The sequence below is a fragment of the Homo sapiens genome, chromosome 1 (assembly GCF_000001405.40).
Source record: "Homo sapiens chromosome 1, GRCh38.p14 Primary Assembly".
NCBI classification, from domain to species: domain Eukaryota; kingdom Metazoa; phylum Chordata; class Mammalia; order Primates; family Hominidae; genus Homo; species Homo sapiens.
In genome coordinates, this window is record NC_000001.11 from 238,647,629 (window position 1) to 238,668,046 (window position 20,418).

The 20,418-nt window shown below is 33.8% G+C and overlaps 1 annotated feature.

Moving 5' to 3' along the window:
* Positions 260-847: an enhancer, noted in NCBI's record as "OCT4-NANOG hESC enhancer chr1:238811188-238811775 (GRCh37/hg19 assembly coordinates)". NCBI's record gives its function as "activates a minimal SCP1, AML or CMV promoter by ChIP-STARR-seq in primed H9 embryonic stem cells {active_cell/tissue: H9 hESC(primed)}" and the evidence as "EXISTENCE:reporter gene assay evidence [ECO:0000049][PMID:30033119]".

Here is a 20,418-nt window from a genome sequence, read left to right on the forward strand (position 1 = left end):
GAATTTAAGATTGGAAACTTTTGCTTTTATTTTTATTTTAAAGTGATACATCCTCAACTGGTAAGTCAATTTTTACTTAATTTGTATGGAAATGTTATTTTCTACTTAGTCAACATAGTTTCTAGCTTCAAGAAACTAGAAAACATTATATTTTTATTTTTTTAATCTATGACAGCATAGATATTGCAAAATATATTTTTCAGAGATGGCTGCACCAATACATATTCCAACCCCATTTCTCTATTGAGAGGGGCATCTATGTTTCTTCCCAATGAAACTGAATGAACTTGTGTAACTGCTTTGACCAACAGAATCCAGAGAAAAGGACAGTGCATGACTTTTGAGGCTAGATCATGAAAGGCAACAAGCCTACTACTGGCTAGAATCTTTCTCTTGGCTCATGTGCCTTTTGGAGCCATGAGTCATCAGGTTAGAAACTCAGCTATTCTGACGCTGCCATACTTAGAAGACCATATAGGGAAACCACATACAGATGGAGCTGCCTGAGGAATCCGAGCTATTTGAGTCTTTCCAGCCCACGCATTCAAATAGGAGTGAAAAAGCCTTTGAAATGAGAGTTCATGAGAGTTCCTCAACCTGAATGGTCCTTATGAGCCATGCTGTGTTCCTAACCCTTAGAAAGTCTGAGAGATAATAAATGATTGTTTTAAGGTATTAACACAGAAAAAGTAACTAGGATCTACGTCTTAATAGTTCAAACTTTTAATACACCTAATTGGTGTTAAATAGGATCACACTGCTAAAATTGTGGGGTCACCATAACTATGGTGTGAAGTTGGAGTGTAAATTATTTGGTTAGTCATTTTATAAACCTTCTTTATTTTCATTTTGTCACTGTCTCCATAGTGCTTTGAAGTTAGGTAGTTTCAAATTGAGTCTTGATTTTACCACTTATTAGTATTCTAATTTTCAGTGTTAACTCCCCTCTTGCTGTTTCCTCATTTATAATAATAAAGGTGATATGACCATTGCTAAATGAGATCACATATTTGAAAGCTTGTTATACAATGTTTCAAATGTAGAAGGCACATATTCACATATATGTTGCTCTTTGTGGAGCACGTATAAGGGTCATTTGGAAGTGAGGATAACCTGGATTTGAAAATTCAATTCCTCATGTATCTATTTAAAATTTTGAGAGTTACTTAAGCTTCTTGATACCAGGGAATTGCTAATGACAAACTAAAATTCCTGCTGAGAATAACTGAAAAAGTTACATAAAACCACAAATTATGCATATGAAGTTATCAGAGAACTGCTGGGAAACGGCAAATTAAAGGGACAAAATGCTGGAGAAGGCATTTCCGTGAAGCGAGGTTAGCCAGCATTCTGCAGTCACTTTTATTTTTTTTTTAAACCAGACCACAAGTAGGGGGCTGAGATTCCCATGATTTGGACAAACATGTGAAACAGAAGGTGAAAAAAGAAGCAGGGCTTTTGGTTGTTACATAAACGAGAAAGAAAACAATAATTATAACAATGACACATTAAGAGACCAGAATTCTACTACGAAGAGTCATTAATTGAAGTTCTGGCCTGTCAGATTGCCCCTCAAAATATTTGTCAAATTCACAAATTATTTGGGACATGAAGCTAAGAGACAAAACAAAAGTTATCTGAATAACAGCACTGAAGACTTAGGGTCCAGATCCCTGCAGTGGGTAACACCCTACTGATTGCACCAGTCTCCCAGTTGGACCACTTTTCCTGTTAGCTAAGTCCTAAGACTGGGGATTAATTAGAGCTAGACTAAGGCTTAGCAGATGTGCAACCTTACCTCAGGTTGGGTCAATACATGATTAAAAGAAAGCAATCTGTCTCTTACTCTATCTGCCTAGGAAAGGAAAGTGAAAGCTAACAAAACAAAAAAAGAGAAGTAAATACATTCATAAATAAAAATGGTAGTTTTTAACATAATTTTTCAGTAACTCATAGAACAAGCAAACCAAAAAATAAAAAAATAATTTGAATATTTGAATTGTAATATTAAGAAATTCAGCTTAACAAGAATACCCAGTAACTGCAATTATACATGAAAACAATTTCAAAACATATGCATGAAAAGAATGTGAAAACATATTCTATAAGAGCCAGAGAGCAAACTTCAACCAATTTCAAATAATTGGACTCATGCAGAGTATATTCTCTCGCCACAGATGAATTTTTGAATTCAATAACACACACACACAAAAATACAAAATGTCCAAATGTTAATTAAAGGAAACACTTCAAAATAACTCACAAACATAATTTTTATAAGTTTTAAAAAATATTTAACTGAATGTAATAAAAAAGACATAATATGCAAAATGCAGCTAGAACAGTGCTTAGGTGAAAATCATGCCCTTGAATGCAGGTAGATAGGTAAATAACTAGATACATAGATGCCTAAAGGTCACTGACTTAAGCACCCACCTCCAGAAGCCATACAAAATGATTATATTACAGCCAGAATAAAGTGAAAGAACAAAAGAATGTATAGCAGAAATCAATGAAATAGAAAGCAGATACAAAAAAGAAAAAATAAGCATAATAGACAAAATTTTCTTCTCATAAAATGAATAAAATTTATAATCTAAAAAATTTAATAAGGGAAAGAGAGCAAGAGAACAAGAGAAACTAAATACAAATAACAGTATCAGAAAAGAAAAGAGGGCATCACTACAGTCCCCATAGTTATTAAGAAGGAAAGAAGATAATAGAAGCAATTTTATTCAATTAGATTTGAAATCATAGGTACAATAAGCATATTCCTTGGAAATGAAAAATGTAAAACTGACAGGAAATCTGGATACCCTTTATCTAGTCAAGAAATTAAATTTATGTCAGATTCTTTCACGAAATAAATGAATAAATGATCTCTGCCTATATGCTTCATCAATGACTTCTGTAAACTTAGAAAAGATTTAATACTAATCTTACAAAATTTTCTCCAGGGAATTATAAGATGGAAGGCACTTTATAATTTCTTTCATGAGGCCCACAGGATTATGATACTGATACCTGTTGATAGTGATACCTGACAAGGCTTTGATGGAATAAATGTCAAGGAACTCTCTCCCATAAACATATATGTAAAATTTAAACAGAATTAGTAAATGGAATCTAGCAATATGTAAAATAGGAAAATCTAAAATGTGGAAATCTGACCAACTGTGACAGATTTCAGGACTGCAAGAAGTTCTTTAATTAATGGAATAAACAGAAAAATGTATGTTATCCTCTCAATAAAACCAGCAAATGCACCTGAAAACAACACATCACAATTTATAGCTATTTTCAAAATATGCATAAGTAGAAATGGATATTCTTAATCTGATAAATATTATCTAAAAACAAGCAACAAAGCAACTTATACTTACTGATAAAATATTGAATGCTTTCCACCTGAAAAGAAGAATGAGAGAAAAAAATCCGCTATTACAGTTTCTATTGAAATTGGGTCAAAGCTCTACACATAATAGAAAGACAGGATTTAAAAAAATAAAAGTATTAAAAGGAAGAAATTATAATATTGTTACTTCCTGTTTTAATACAGAATATTCAAAAATCTGGAAATAAATATATTAAATTGAATACATAAGTTTAATAAGTCCACTGAAAAAATGGACAAAATAGGTCATATTAGTAAAAAATAATTAAATACTGTAATTTAAAAGGAAACCACTGAAAATAACATCAGAAAACATCAAATACCAAGAAAACATTTACTAAAATTGTTTAAGTGACTCCAAAAAGTGCCTCACGGTTCCAAGACAAATTGTTGATGATATCAATAAATGGAAGGTATACCATGTTCAAGGTTTAAATTACTCAATTTGTAAATATTTTATATCTTCATAAATCCATTTATAGAGTTAATATATTCCCAATAAATATTCCAATAAGCAGTTTTGTTGAAATTGAAAACTGATTCTACAATATTTAAACAGATAAAATTTGGAAAGCATATACTACCGGATATCAAGGCTTGCTATAATGCCATAACAAGTAAAACAACTTGATGTGGGCGAAAGTAAAGATGAATCAATCAATGGAAGAAAAATGGGTTCCTGAAACACTTAAACACATATAGTTATTTGATTTACCTAAATGTCACTGAAATACAGGGAATGAAACAATAGTCTTCCAGTAAAAGACGTTAGGTTTATTTGATACATATAGAGAAAAACACATTAAAAAGTACCTCACAAAGACAGAAGCAGCTCCAGACAGAGTTTTGTCCTAAATGTGAAGGGTAAACTATAAAACTGCTTAGTGATAACACGATAGATTATCTTCATGATCTTGGGGCAAACAAAGATTTGTTGAAGGAAATGAAAGCCCACTAAGCAGACATGACAGTTTTTATAACTTCGGCTTCCTTAAAATTAAGAACTTTTGTTTTCAAATAATTTTCATATATCAAACAATAGACTTGCATTCAAAATGTATGAAGAATTCCTTCAGATCCATAAGAAAAGAGGGAAAACCCTCTCAAATAAATGGAAAATAATTGGTCAGGCGTGGTGTCTCACGCCTGTAATCCCAGCACTTTGGGAGGCTGAGGCGGGTGCATCGCCTGAGGTCAGGAGTTTGAGACCAGCCTGGCCAACATGATGAAAGCCGTCTCTACTAAAAATACAAAAACTAGCTGGGTATGGTGGTGCATGCCTGTAATCCCAGCTACTCGGGAGGCTGAGGCAGGAGAATTCCTTGAACCCAGGAGGCAGAGGTTACAGTGAGCCAAGACTGTGCCATGGCACTCCAGCCCGGGTGATAGAGTGAGACTCTGTCTCAAAAAAAAAAAAAACAAAAAAAAAAGGAAAGAAAGAAAACGGAGAAAAATGGAAAATAGTCTTGAATAGGCAGTTGACTAAAGATGATGAGGAAATACTCAAGAATCCTATGAGAAAACACCCAATAATCCTATGAGAAAACACTCAATAATCCTATGAGAAAATGCTTGCCTCATTTGTCATCGATAATTTTCAAATGAAAACCAAAATGAGATACCCATTTATACCTAATGGAATAGACTAAAAATAAATGCAAAATAAATTGACACTAAATAATGAGCGTCTAATACTCTCAAATATTCTGAAGTACAAATTTGGGCAGGAAAAAAATCGCAGTATTCACTAAACTGAACAAAAGCATACTCTATGACTCAACAGTTTCACTTACTGGAATCTACCCAACAGACATGCGGCCATAAGTCATCAAAAGCCATGTACATGAATGTTTGTATTGGCTTCCTTATTTACAACGAATATCTGGAATTGATTAAAATGTGTATCAACACTAAAATGGAAAAATACTTTTAATATATTAATAAAATGGAATCCCATACATCAATGAAGAAGAAAACTAATACTACTGCTATTTGGTCGTAATACTGAGTATGTGCTTTATATAAAGTATGTGAAATTTAAGCAGGCAAAACTATTCTATTTTATATATATATATATATACACACTATTCTATATAATGTGAGGGCTCAGAATATTATTTACTTTTGTGTGTAAGTTAATAACTGATATCCATAAGAGAAGCTTCTGGGGTATTGATTATGTCCTATATGGTTACATGGCTTTATTTACCTTGTAAAAGTTCACGAAACTCTAGATTTATGATATATGCAACTTATTGTATGCATGTTATGCATCAATTTAAACAATTGAAAAATCTCCCCAGCTTGCACATATTAGCATAATTTTGGTAGGAATACCTACAGGGGCCAGCGATGTAACAAGGACCATCTAAATTAGAAATGAGGCAACCTATATGTAGCTCCAACTAAATGCTATCATTCAGAATTGCAAATCTAGTGTTGTCATATTAAGAAAGCTAGACATTTTAGATTTTTTGTGAAATTTTCTCGTTTTAAGTGTTTCTGTTTTATCCCCACTCCCAAACAGTATGTTAACATAAAAAACACAAAACGTGTTTTATCTAGGAGCAAACGTTTTGTGCTCATTGAAATTTTGGTATGATTATTACAATCTTGATAACAGATGTCTTTCCTCTGTAATTTTCTTAAACAGAGAAATGTAGACCTGTCCTTCGGTTATTGTTAGGGCAACCTCAGTGCTGCATTAGTATTGTTTTCTATTGTGGTATCTTTCCTTTCTGCTACCTCAGCTTTCACAAGTCATTTTTATTCTTTTTTGCCAGCTCAGCTGACCATCGTGAATGTTATTCTGTACTGAATCATCAGTATAGAATGGTTGCAATTCAATTAGCTGTCAGGGTATATAACCTCAAATCTACTCCTGGTCAATATTTATGAAATGCTCAGCTGAGAGGCACAATATTTATGGAAAAGTTTCTGAAAGGTAAGCAGTGCACTCATTCTCTGAATGCTCTTAATAGCTACCCATAAATTAATCCATAGTACAAGTGTACCACCCACCTAGACCACAGAATTTTGCCACCTCCTAATACAACAGAATTTACAGAATTGCCTTTTGGCCATATGCCATAAGCATACAATGAGAGATAGAGTAAGAAACCTCCCTAACACATTTGTTGCATTTATGCTACATAACTGTTTTTCCAATGATGAATCACCATAGAAATATCTCTTGAACCCAAGCATCAAAAAAAAAAGCTACTCATGGCAATCGGATTACTTTTGTTTCATGGGCCCTCTGACTCATGTGCCTCCCTGCTTCTCGAAAGAAGGGTACCTGGAATTACATTCATATGCAGGAAACTAGAAAATCAATATGGAATATGGAGATTTTCGCTGAAAAATTAATTTTACTCAAATATTTAGAGAAACATTTTGAATTTTTATACTCTCCAAATGCTTTGCCACACATGCATATAAATAAACTAATCATAAGCCATTTTCTCCATTTTGATTGGTAAATATTTTTTATTTTTAGTTTGTTTTGTAGATATCTTAAAAGTATAAGTTTGAAGCATAAGCTTTCATGACGCCAGTATAAGTGCACAAGACATTTGAGAATGTAAAGATAAGAAATAATTAAGACTATGAAAGGTATGGAATTGCTCCTGATGTAACTCTTAAAGACTTTGACAACAAGGAATGCAAAAGCATTATCAAAGTATACCAAGATATTTGATAGAAAACATATTCAAATGTTTACCTTAATTGTGTATTTATTGAAATGAAAATAAATTCCAGTTCCAATTTTGCTAAAAACCCTGAAGTATGACAACCTAAATATGTCACCTTCATGTCATTCTTCAAGACTAATTATTTAGCATGTTTTTTGCCTTCTTTAGCAAAGAAATACTGAGCAAGTATATTTATTCTAATATTAGAGCCTGACTTACAAAATTGTCATTTTATCATATATGATATCAAGGTTGAAATTGCACTTAGTTACTACAAAACAAAATGGTGAATGTTTGCAATGCACATAAAAGATAACCAAATTGAAGCACATATGAGAGTTAATAAAGACAAGAGGATGCTTAAAGTTTCAAGAAGCCAAGAGCAGGATAGCTACAAGAAATTGGAATCATATTGGAATCAAACATTGCATTAACAATACTGACTGCAAAAGGATCAATATCTCAGATTTCTAAGGGCACATGATTATGAAAACACAATTTCAGACCAAAGAAAAATAGCCAAAATATATATTGCTATATTATTCAAAGGTTAACCTGTTTTCCAAACTTTAAAAATATTCTCAGGAATATATTTCCTCAAAACAATAAAGAGATCCAAAATAATAGTAATATTAGATATAGACCCCGACAATTTCTTTCTAGAGGGGAAGAAAAACAAGCATCAAGTTGACAGTTGAGTAGCAAGGTGAGCATGCATGCAATCAATTGAAATGAGAAAAGGTCAGGAACCCCTAGAAAAAACATAGACTTATGTATGTTTTTTCTATTAGATAGATACTATTAGTAATCAAATGGTGTCATAGCTTAAGACAAAAAGAAAATTAGAATAACAATTGAAAACTCCAGAAAAATAAAATTTTACTTTAAATAATCCTTCAATTATACATCAAACATACTATGGTACAATTTTGGATTGATGAATGCCAGTTTAAAAAGTTCCGTCTGACTCATTAATCTGGAATAACAGATTAAGTATATTTTAGCTACATCCTCTTTTCTGCTCTTTTAATTTCACCTTTTAGGATAAATTAATATTTACAAAATTACAATAGTGTAAATGTTATTCGGTAGTTTTCCCTTTAGAATAAACTTATAGAAAAAAGAGAGAAAATTGAATTGCAGTTACTGATGATAATGTAAACATTATACAATTTTTCAATGTTGTTGAAACAGTATTACAAACAGTAGCTGAGAAGTGAAGAGGAGATTGCAGAGGAAGGAAAACAGTAGACATATACATTCCATTGTCATGCTTAATAGAAAATTAAAATATAATTTCTAATACTTACAGAAAGAGAAATAATTATAAAATATCTCACATAGATTAAACAATTTCAGAACACATAAAATTTGAGAACAGTGAATGAAGAATTGGAAATAGTTTTCATGAGTTAAATTCCTGGTCACTGAATGATAAATAAATATTATCTGTAATTACAAAATGGGCATAGATGTACGCTATGTAAATTTCATCAATAGGTTTAAAATAATAGTTTTTAAAAGTGGTTACTTTTAAAGGGTCATGATGGAGAATTGTATTGGGATACCATTTTTATTTTTATTTTTGTACCCTTCAGTTCTATTTTATTATTTTTTAATCATTCAAATATGTTACTCAATATCAAATTCTTTTTATAAAACATGATAATTTGGCTTTGCATCCATTTTTTTCTGGCTAAAAAGGAGACTTATTAATAATACAATAAGCATAAAATAGGAAAATTTATGTTATTTCCTACAAGATAGGTTATAAAAACATCTTGTTAGATAATGTTACCACAATAAAAGAAAAGCTGGTGAAACTTCAGGATATAGATATGTTAAATGTAATAAACAAAAATTTGAAAATTTTAAAATGCATATATTATTTTACTGAATGCTGCTATTGGAATGTTTTTTAATGTATTCCAAAGATATATTTAAAAAACTGGTTATTAAAGAAAATAATAGATTTCAGTTTATGTAGTTTATGTTAGTGATCAGACAATTTTACAGATCCTTAATGAAGATATATCTTATATAGAGTGCTTGAATGTAAAATCAATGGTAAACACTTTTTTAAATGATTTCAATTTTCAATCAATTTAAAGATAATATGGGGATATGTCTGCAGATTGGACCAATACTGTGAGGAAAAGTATGAATACGTTTTAACAGCATTTACAACAGCTTACCTTCAGGCATTTACTTCAGGTTTCCACAATGTGAAAAAATCAGTGTTCTTGTAAACATGATAAAGTTTTTTTTTAATCAGTGATTTATACATGCATAAGTATTTGTGGAGCTTTTTATGAGGAAATGGGAAGCAACTGCTGTGACTTACTCTAATATAAAATTTATCTAAGTCTTTTTCATGATTTTGCAAATTCACTGTTAAATTGCACCTGACAACATCATAGCAATAAAAATTAAGTTTGAGTGTTAGATGGTTGATTGCCTGAGGCTCCTTTACATGTCATGAAAAGTTAAAGTTTGAGTTGTAAGATAAGTAGCATCATCAGTCAACTTTCTTCACAGTGAAATTCCTTTGATGAGTATTTCACAAAGAAAAAAAATCTAATGATCGAATCATAAAACCTTTGACCCAATCATCTGACAGAATTGATTTGATCTCCAGTCAAGAAGATACACTTCTCGATACTTTGTTATATCTGTGAAATGACCTTCTCTTTTAAGAAATATAGCAGGTGAATTACTCAAAGAAGTCTTTCTAGTAATGATTACCTAGAATTCTAGATAAAAATATATTTAACTGGCCGGGTGCGGTGGCTCACGCCTGTAATCCCAGCACTTTGGGAAGCCGAGGCGGGAGGATCACGAGATCGATACCATCCTGGCTAACACGGTGAAACCCCGTCTCTACTAAAAATACAAAAAAATTATCTGGGAGTGGTGGCAGGTGCCTGTAGTGCCAGCTACTCGGGAGGCTGAGGCAAGAGAATGGCTTGAACCCGGGACGCGAAGCTTGCAGTGAGCCGAGATCGCACCACTGCACTCCAGCCTGGGCGACAGAGTGAGACTCCATCTCAAAAACAAAAACAAAAAAACCTATATATATATATATATATAGGTTTAACTATTTAAATGGATAATTTAACTGGTAAAGAAAAAAATAGAAGCAATTCTTAGAAACCAGAAAGAGAAAGAAAGGAAGGGAAGGGAAGTGGATAGGAGGAAAGAGGAGGGGTGAGGAAGGGAGGGGGAAGGGACGAAGAGGTAAATAAGCATAGAACCCAGGAATACTCTGATGTTACCTGTGATAGCTTAGAAAACTTGATTTAAACACTAATCTGGGACTCAAAAGACAAAGGCTGGTGACTAAAGAGTTGGGGCTCAGATCTGAGATTCCTCTATCAAAGATCATATCCCAGAAGAGTGAAGGCCTCAGTAGGTAAACTAGAAAACACAGCAGAGGTAAACAGAGAGTATTCAAGACTTTCCCTAAGTGTTAATTTCCCTTGGTTTCTTTGGGATATTAGCTTGCTCATGTGCATTTTGTTCTTTTTTTTTAAGAGACAGAGTCTTGCTCTGTTGCCCAGGCTGGAGTTGGTGCGGTGGCACCATCTTGGCTCACTGGAGCCTCAAACTCGTGGGCTCAAATGACACGCCCACTTAAGCCTCCCGAGGAGCTGAGATTACAGGCGCAAGCTACCATGTAAGGCTAATTTATTTTTATTTTTGTGGAGACGAGTCTTGCTATGTTGCCCAGGCTGGTCTCGAGTTCCTGGGCTCAAGTGATCCACCCACCTCAGCCTCCTAAAGTGCCAGAATTACAGGCAAAAAGCCACCATATCCAGCTTCATGTGCATTTTGAGGTCATCTAAGAATGTGATGGAATTTTTTTACCTGATTTTGCTATACTACTGTTCAGAGAAAATCCAAACTCTATAAAGTAGTTCAGAGGTTTATTCTGAGCCATTATGAGTGACCGCAGCCTGGGGAAAACGCAAACCCAAGAAGCCTTAAGTAAGTAGTCTCCGAAGTGTTTGGATTACAGTTTGGTTTTATACATTTTACAGAGGCCAGAGTTACAGGCAAAGACATAAATAAGTACATGGAAAGTATATATTGTTTTGGCCCAAAAAGACAGGATATCTTGAAGCAGGAATCCCCAAGTTTTAGGTGGATTCAGATTCTTTAATTTGCAGTTGGTTAAAGTAGTAAGACTCTCTCTAAAACTTGGAGTCATCAGACAGGAATGTTTTAAGATAACAGTGCTATGTAGCAAGATTGATGGCCAGCAGGCTTGACTTAACCTTTGCCTTGCATGGCATTGGGTCTTATTTGTAATTTGGAATTTCATTGCCATAAGGAGTGTGTTTGTCAGTGTTATAATCTCCGTTTTACATGAGCACTGGTCAGTTGTGCCTAAACTCCAAAAAGAAGAGGATATCATGGGGCATGTCCAACCTCCCTTAAACAATCATGGCTGAAAATTTAGTTGTCAAGATTTGTGTTGGTCAAGAGGGGGTCCATTTTCAGCTAGTAGGGAGCTTAGACTTCATTTTTAGTTTACATCAAACAGTGACTTCCTTCTTTCCAGAAATTTTTCTCTTAGTAACCAATTTCAGGAATAAGATGGCTGATTTTTGTGTCAGTTTCATCTCTCTATGGACCAAATTTGCGGAGGTCTCAAGGGAACTACCAATTAAATACGTCTTACCTAGTATATTTCCTTTCTCTTAGGGGTACCTTCCTTCCCGTTCTTGCCTGCTTTTAGTCACTCTTAACTCTTCATAAGGTTGATTTTTATGGTTTTTCTCCAAGTTTATAATGGTTTCTGAAATGAGGCCCTTTGTCATTACAGAAAGTAGTACTCCATCTTTTTTTTTTTTTGAGGCGGAGTCTCGCTCTGTCGCCCAGGCTGGAGTGCAGTGGCGCAATATTGGTTCACTGCAAGCTCCGCCTCCTGGGTTCACGCCATTCTCCTGCCTCAGCCTCCCGAGTAGCTGGGACTACAGGCACCCGCCACCGTGCCCAGCTATTTTTTTTTTTTTTTTTTTTTTGTATTTTTAGTAGAGACGAGGTTTCACCATGTTAGCCAGGATGGTCTCGATCTCCTGACCTCGTGATCTGCCCGCCTAGGCCTGCCAAAGTGCTGGGATTACAGGCGTGAGCAGCCTCGCCCGGCCTATCTTTTTTTAAAGCTAAGCTGTCTTTTCTAATATAATGTAAATATACAAATTGTGTTATTTTAAAGTGCAATTTCATGACAGAATTTCAACTACTTAAATACATGATGTCCGTGGTAAACACTATTTTAAATTGTGATAAAATACTTAAAGAAAATAGTAAACATATGGTCCTGGATCCTGAGAAAATAATTCCTCACACAATGCACGAAATGTATCCATTTCTTAAAAATGTCAAACATTTGCTTTTCCTTAGGTGTAAATAATTTTCTCCTTTGGGAGAATTGGTGATGCTGAATAAGTGATTTGTGAAGCAAAGTAAATTTATAAGATCATTACAAATGGCAGCTTCCAGAAAATGGTGAGGGTAATATGTCAAGGCAAAAAAAAAAAAAAAAAATGCTGTTTCTTCAGTCACTGAAAATCATCTCCTTAATCATGTTGCTTGGGGAAAAATACATTTGCTTTTCCCGTCTAATTTTCCAAATGACATGCTGATTTTACATGGCTCTGTTGATGCATAAGTAATTGATAATTCAGAAGAATGTATAATACAATGTTCTTGAATATCTTAACATTTTGTCTCAGTTGGGTAATCATCTACTTCTTTCTTCTTACAGGTCCCTATTATAAATTAAATAAATGAATATTTTGAATGATTCTTTAATCATATACATATAGACTATTGATGAGTAAAATATATATTTTGATAAATCTTCCACTCTACTATCCAATATAAAATTTAAAAACAATGTCTTCTGTAATATAAAACACTGTATAATATAAAAATATTAATCAAACTTAGAGTTTAAGAATGTGGAATCTCCAAGCTAAACCCCTTTCTCAGTTTTTGGTTAATCAGGGATAAAGTGAAGATTAATATGATGAAGATTGCTGATATGGAAAGAGTGGAAAATAATTATTCAGACTGGATTTTTTAAAGAGGCTTCTTGCTTTAATAATAGTGGGAGATGAAGAGGAATGATGTGATTTTTATTTTTTCACCTGCTTTTTAGTTTTTGTAAGCAGAGGCATCTTTACTAAACCATCTGGCTTTTATAATTACTAATCAGAGGCAAGATGCTGTAAGCTTCTTATCAGTCAGAGTTCATCATTCCTCACTGATTGCTCCAAATAGCCAGGAAAATGGAGAATCACAGTTCATATACATGTAGCCAAGAAAAACAAAAATTAAACTCTGTTCTATTCTGGAGAACTTGTCCTGTGAAAACACTACGTGCATCCCCTTTGGCCAGGAACACCACAGTGGTTCTGTTCACACAGCTAATGGGAGCTGCTCCAGAATTTCTGTCTCTTCCACTCATGGGAACCTGAAGTAGTTGAAGGCACCATGCAAGATGACAAGAAGTGGCTGCCTCATTGTATACATTCAAATTTTGGAGGAAGAACATATGATAGAAAAAGCTTAGGTCACATGATATAGGTGTGATTGATAAAGCATCAAGGAATGCTGGGAAAGTGAGATTTGGTTTCTTCAACATTTGCAATGGAAGACAAGGTCCACCTTACAAAAAGGGGAATTTGGAAAATGTAAATTCAGATGCTCACTAGACAAAAGAAATGGCAAGTATCCACTATGGAACGGTCTAAAAGAATTAAAAGCACCATTGACCAAAGCTAATAGTTAGTTAATGATAACAGCTACAAACTTAAAGGTAATTTAAAAATTCCAATTACACCTAATTTTGTTTTTTTAAGCCCATTGAAATATTTTTTAATGAAATACTGTTCAGATTTTCAGGAACTTCTTGAAAATTGTAATGCATTTGGTATGCAAGTGGAAAAAAATCTGTGATCCAAAGGGAAGTATCTGTGAATTTATAGACAATAGTCCCCCTCCAAATGGTGATTGTTTTTTTCTTCTTGCAGGCACATCTGTGATTTTATGTTTGTAGTTTGAAGAATTTTGTTTTTAGCTTAGCTTGTTTTTTTTATCTGTTAGTTCTTCAAGACAATCGTAAGTATACATTGATTGTAAGACTATATAGTAGGCTTCCCTATGTTGAACTGGTTATATTTAATCATTCCATTTAATCAGGACACTATCTGAAATCTGAAATTTCGACTATGCTTATGCAGATTTGTGTATATAAATTCCGACTTCCCCCAGCACTTTGGAAGGCCGAGGCAGGCGGATCACGAGGTAAAGAGATTGAGACCATCCTGGCCAACAACCCATCTCTACTAAAAATACAACAATTAGCTGGGCATGGTGGCGCACACATGTAGTCCCAGCTACTCAGGAGGCTGAGGCAGGAGAATCTTTTGAACTCGGGAGGTGGAAGTTGCAGTGAGCCAAGATCGCGCCACTGCACTCCAGCCTGGCGACAGAGTGAGACTCCGTCTTTAATAAATAAATAAATAAATAAATAAATAAATAAATAAATAAATAAATATAAATTCCTACTTCCTTATATATTGTAAAATTATTTCTTTTTGCAGATATCTAAGTTAGCCTAATGTATTTCACTTAGTCTGTTGGATAATGGTTATTTTTCTTTGGTTCTTTAATGGCACTGCTAATTATCTAAAAAATTACCAGAAAGTAACCTAAGAAGATGCAAGTCTAGCACCTATCGTGGAAAGTCAGTCAAGTACAAAAGAGAAAATTTTATGGTTATTTTAAAATGAGCAGAATCAAGCTTCTATGGATTTCTTAAGCACTTCAATTTCTTTTGCAGTTTCTCATATTGATTTTATGTGAGTATAATTATTCTAAAGTAACAGCAGATATACCGCTATTTAAAACAATATAAATATTAAATACTTTATGCAAGAAAATACTCAAGAATTAGTAAAAAGGAGGCAATATTACCCAATAGAGATGTAGAAGACATAAGCTCTAAAAATTCACCCACTAATATATTCTAGGAAGATCTATGGCTAATTTTCCCCAATGTATAATTACATTTGCTCGAACATGTCCTAAAGGTTTCTTCATTGAATGCCACCCTCACAGTTCTGGCCCTTTTCCTTTAAGCTTAATCAGTATTTGTAGTCTTATATTTTTAAAATTCCTAATGCTTACTCCAATCTTTTAAATTTTGGATCTCATCAACTTCACATTCTAATGATGAAGATTCCCTTGAAAGCAACATAAAAATTTACTATAAGATGCACCCTCTGAAACGCTGACCGCATTTATACTATTGAAATAACCAACTCACCATATATTTAAAAGGAAAGTGTTCACAATTCTCACGTTTGTTCCAGAAACTCTAAGACCGTTTTGTTTTCCTTTATGAAGATGGCTGAAATCACTGCATCAACTATGCTCAAGCCACTTTATTAGGGGAAGAAAAGAATCAGAGCTATGTGCCAAGTGCCAGGTTAGGGGTTAAAAAGTTTAGAGTGACAACACATGTACCAGAATCTTGGCATGTAGTAATAGGATAACTTTAAGACAAATTCTTAAATACCGGAGTAAGAAGAGCAGGACCTAAAATTAATCAACGATGTACTATGTGCCCAAATTGCCACTATTGTTCCTTATAGATTTATTTTTCAAGTAGACCATAAACTCTCAGACTTTTCACTCTATATAATTCTTATCACCATACTGAGAATATAGTAAACAGAATGTTTGCTTACTAATTATCTAATTTATTAAGATACTGGAAACAGCAAGAGCTTTTTCCTTTTTCTTTTTCAATATCCTCTAAACCCATAAGTTGAGCTGATTCAATTAGGAAGGTTCAGATATTGTACTGTAAACCTTGGATTTAGATACACTTTGGCCCAATCCTAGTCTTACCATTTCTAGAAGGGAAGCCTTGAACAAATTCTTTAACTTCCATGAACTCCAATTGCTTTATTCATAAAATGAGGATTAATTTTTTCTTACAACATAAACTGGAGGCTACATTGAGGTGGCATGTTCTCTGATAATAATATTAGTGTTATTTATTCTGTTACTATTATTATGTATTATGCTGTGGTATAAAAACAGCATTTTGGGGTTGAGTTAATAACATGCTTATTATTTACTGTTTTCTGAACAAGGACACATAGTGTAGGCTAATGCTAAATTCTCTAAACTTTATGTTTTCATGATAGTGTAGGGTTGCATTCTTCCTGTCTCAGTAAAACCTCTTTAAAGGAAAAAGGTGTGGACTTTTCTATGTTTTTAGTAGATCTGAGAAAGATAGTCTGTTAGCTTGCAAAGATGGCCACAATTTCTTATCTCTCCCTGTATCTGTATTTTTGCCAGACTATTCCGTAGTTCTTCTAAAGGGATCAAGTCTATTTCCTTACCTTTTAAATATGGACAGGTTTTGTGGCTTTCTTTAGTTAATATACTCGGTGGAACTGATGATGTGTAGTTCTGACTTAAGACATCTATGGGATGTTTCTGCTTCCTCTGTGGCTCTCTTGCAGGCTACTTCTGGCATGTCCTTGTGGTAATGGGAGATTTGCAAGAAAGCAGTCCAAGGCTTTGATCAGCCATCTGCCATCCAGCCTTCAAATCTGTAAGCCAGATCAACAAGGAAGATTCACATAGCCAACTGTCAGCTGACTCAACAGTGTGCCCAATACACACTGCTTGTTAAATGCCACGAGGGTTTGGTTTAGTTTCTTAAAAGGAAATGTTTTTTCCTTTTAACTGTATCAGTCAAAAGACAACTGATACAGACTCCAAAACTGTGTGCTAACTCATGATGGCATGTTAAAACTGGAATGTGTCCAGCTATATAAAAAATTTTTTGGCTGGGCGCAGTGGTTCACATCTGTAATCTCAGCACTTTGGGAGACTGAGGCAGGAGGATTCCTTGAACTCAGGAATTCGAGACTACCCTAGGCAACAAGGGGAATCTCCGTCTCTACAAAAAATGCCAAAAAATATTAGCTGGGTATGGTGGTGCATGCCTCTAGACCCAGCTGCTTGGGAAACTGAGGTAGGAGGATCACTTGAGCCCACGAGGTTGAGGCTGTTGTGAACTGAGATCACACCACTGCACTCCCAGCCTAGGTGGCAGAGTGAGACCCCGTCTCAAAAAATTTAAATTTTTTTTAAAAAATTATGATTATGTGTGGAGGGTTAATACGTTATTTCATTTATTTTCCAACTTTTAATTGTGATTAAAAAATGACACCTACAGAAAGTTACAAGCATAGAAGAATATATATATATATATATATAATATATATATCCCTCATTTAGATGTGCAAATGTTAACATTTCACCACACTGATTTCTTTTTGTATTCATCTGTAGGATTGTTTTCTGATGAATCAATTGAAAGTAGATTAAAGATAGCATAATCTTTCATTATTAAATTTTGTCTAGCCATGGTAAATGACTACTAGTCACTCACTTATTGTAAGACACAGCTTCCATTTAGCAGGACTCCATCCATGGAAGTTGTTTGAAAGGCCGATGCATATTGGATATGGCCAATGTCCTTGTGGTAATGGGAGAGGTGCAACACACTGGGAGAGGCCAATGCATTGGCCATATCCAATATGCACTGGCCTTTCAAAGGGCTTCCATGGATGCAGTCCTGCTAAATTGAAGCTGTGTCTTACAAGAAGTTTCATATAAGACATCCTTAAGAATCATGTTTATGAGTAAATTGAAATTTAACATAAAAAATAAATTACAAATACATATGTAAATATGAGACACCAGTTTTTTTTCCTACTTATAGGAAAAAAATTTTAACTAGATACATTATATCTGAAAAACATTTATTAGAACTTCACAACAATTAGCTTTGACAATGAACCTTAACACTTTCATTTGCCTCAACAGATTTGGAAATGAGGTTATGGTAAAATATTATACTTACTTTATAGTGAGCATCTCATTGCTCTCAGAAGAACTAGAGAGTTAATTCTGCTGTTAAGTAATAATGTATGTAATTTTTTTTCTTTCAATAACTTTTTGTGTTCTTCTAAAATACAAAATCACGCTGTGGAAGTAGATGAATACGCTGATCTTTGTTTTTATTATTTTTTCTCTGTTATATATAAGAAAATTTCTCCTCTGATAATAAATGGATATATATATATTATTTTTTCATTTATGAATTAGGTCTTTCTTGTTTGCTGAAAGAGTTTTATCTAAACATCATTGTCACCTGTGCTAACTTGAAGTGTTGGGGATAAAAATTGCTTTCTTTCTTTTTATTTCAATCACCAGAATGTGTAGAATTAGCATTTTGTAAACTTGTGAGCAAGGCATCAACAAAACCAAGCCCAAACTTCCTGGATTGGACCTCGGTATTTTTCCCATGAAAATTAATTCTTAAAGAAGGTATCACTTAGAGAAATTATCTGCACATAAGAACCACATAATCTCGCAAAGACAAAAAGCTTTCAAGTTCCTAGACACCACCCAAAATCAAATGAAACAAAGTTTCATGAATTAAGGTCCAGGAACTTGAATTTATCAATAGTTCTTTCCATAACTGTGGCATGTTCTTCCTTTTCTTGTAAAAGGACTTTGCTTGCTGAGTGATCAACCTATCCATCTCTTCTTTATCTTCCAAAAGTGTACAGGTAATATAAAGAGAAGTTATAAACCAAAAATTCAATAACACTAGTCTTATATTTATCTCTGTATTTAACTTTATCATAATTCTTTATTTTTTCATATGGCTTCAAATTGCTATCTAGTGTTTTTTTGTTTGTTTGTTTTCATTTCTTCCTAAAGGACTTCCTTTATCATTCTTCTTGGGAGTGCAGACTCCCTCAGCTTTTGTTTATCTGGAATGTCTTACTTTTACTTCATGTTTGTCCTTTCTCTGTCCCCTCTTTCTGAGCTTCCTTTTATGTGTATGTTGCTTTATGTGAATGGTGCTCCAGAGGTCTCCTAGACTCTATTGATTTTTCTTCATTCTTTTTATGCCTCAGACTATATAATTTCAACTGACCTATCTTCAAATTCATGGATTCTTTCTTCAATGTATGCAAATCTTTTTTGGAAAACTTCTAGTGAGTTTTTCGTTTTAGTTCTTGTACTTTCAACTCCAGATTTTTTATTTAGTTTCTTTTTATAGTTTCTATCTCTTTAACGAAATTCTTTGTTCATGCCTCATTTTCCTAATTTTCTTTAACTCTTCACCCATGACTTCCTTCAGTCATTCAGTGTATATTTGACTTGAAATGTTTGACTAGTAAGTACAATGTCTGTTTTTCTAGGGACAGTCTCTGTTTTTTTTTATGAGCTATATTTCTATACTTTTTGTTTCTTCACATGCTTCCTAATTTTTTGTTGAAAAACAGACATTTTGAATATTATAATGTGGTAATTCTGGAAAGCAGATAATTTATTATCCCCACAGTCTGTCTTATTTCTTGTTTTGCTCTGTGCCTGTTTCTAAACTATTTTTGTAAATCTGTATTATTTGTCATGTATAGTCTCTCAATTCTATGTTCCTTAACTTATATGAAGTTAAGTGATTCAAAATCTAAGCTGTTGAAATTTATTTTGAGCCTCAAAGCAATGTGAATACAGAGCCTGAGTCAACAATAGGCAGCTGTAACCTAAGCAACTGTAACCTTTATTTCTCTGATTATAGATTAGCCTTAGTCCTTACCTGAGTTGTTTTATAGATGTGTTAAATTACTGAAAGGTGCCAGAGAAGACATTTTTACTATTGACAATTGATCTTCATTATAGATTAACTTTTTTGTTGCCTTTCTCACACAGACTGTGCGTGGCTATCATATTATTTTAAGATGGAATAATAATTTAAGACTTTTAAATAGAAAAGGAAATGAAAAATTACTGTAAAGAAGAGAAAATAAGCTGTACAGGAAATACAAACTGTAGTTAATTTGTTGTTGCTCTTAAACTAGCTTTGTATTGAAAATGTCATAATCCTGTGAGATGTATTTGTTTTCTGCCTATACAAGCAAGAAATTAACTTTGAATTTTGGAACACTGACCCTATCTCTCTGGATTCTGTGTCTCCCAAATGGCTATTCCCAGCTTTTTACGTGAATAACAGCGGATTGTTATTCTTTCAATCACTTCAGGTTGACACTTGTGCTCAACTAGTGTTCTTGTTTTGTTTTGTTTTGTTTTGAGACAGTCTTGCACTGTCAACCAGACTGGAGTGCAGTGATATGATCTCAGCTCACTGCAACCTCCGCCTCATGGGTTTAAGCGATTCTCCTGCCTCAGCCTCCCAAGTAGCTGGGATTACAG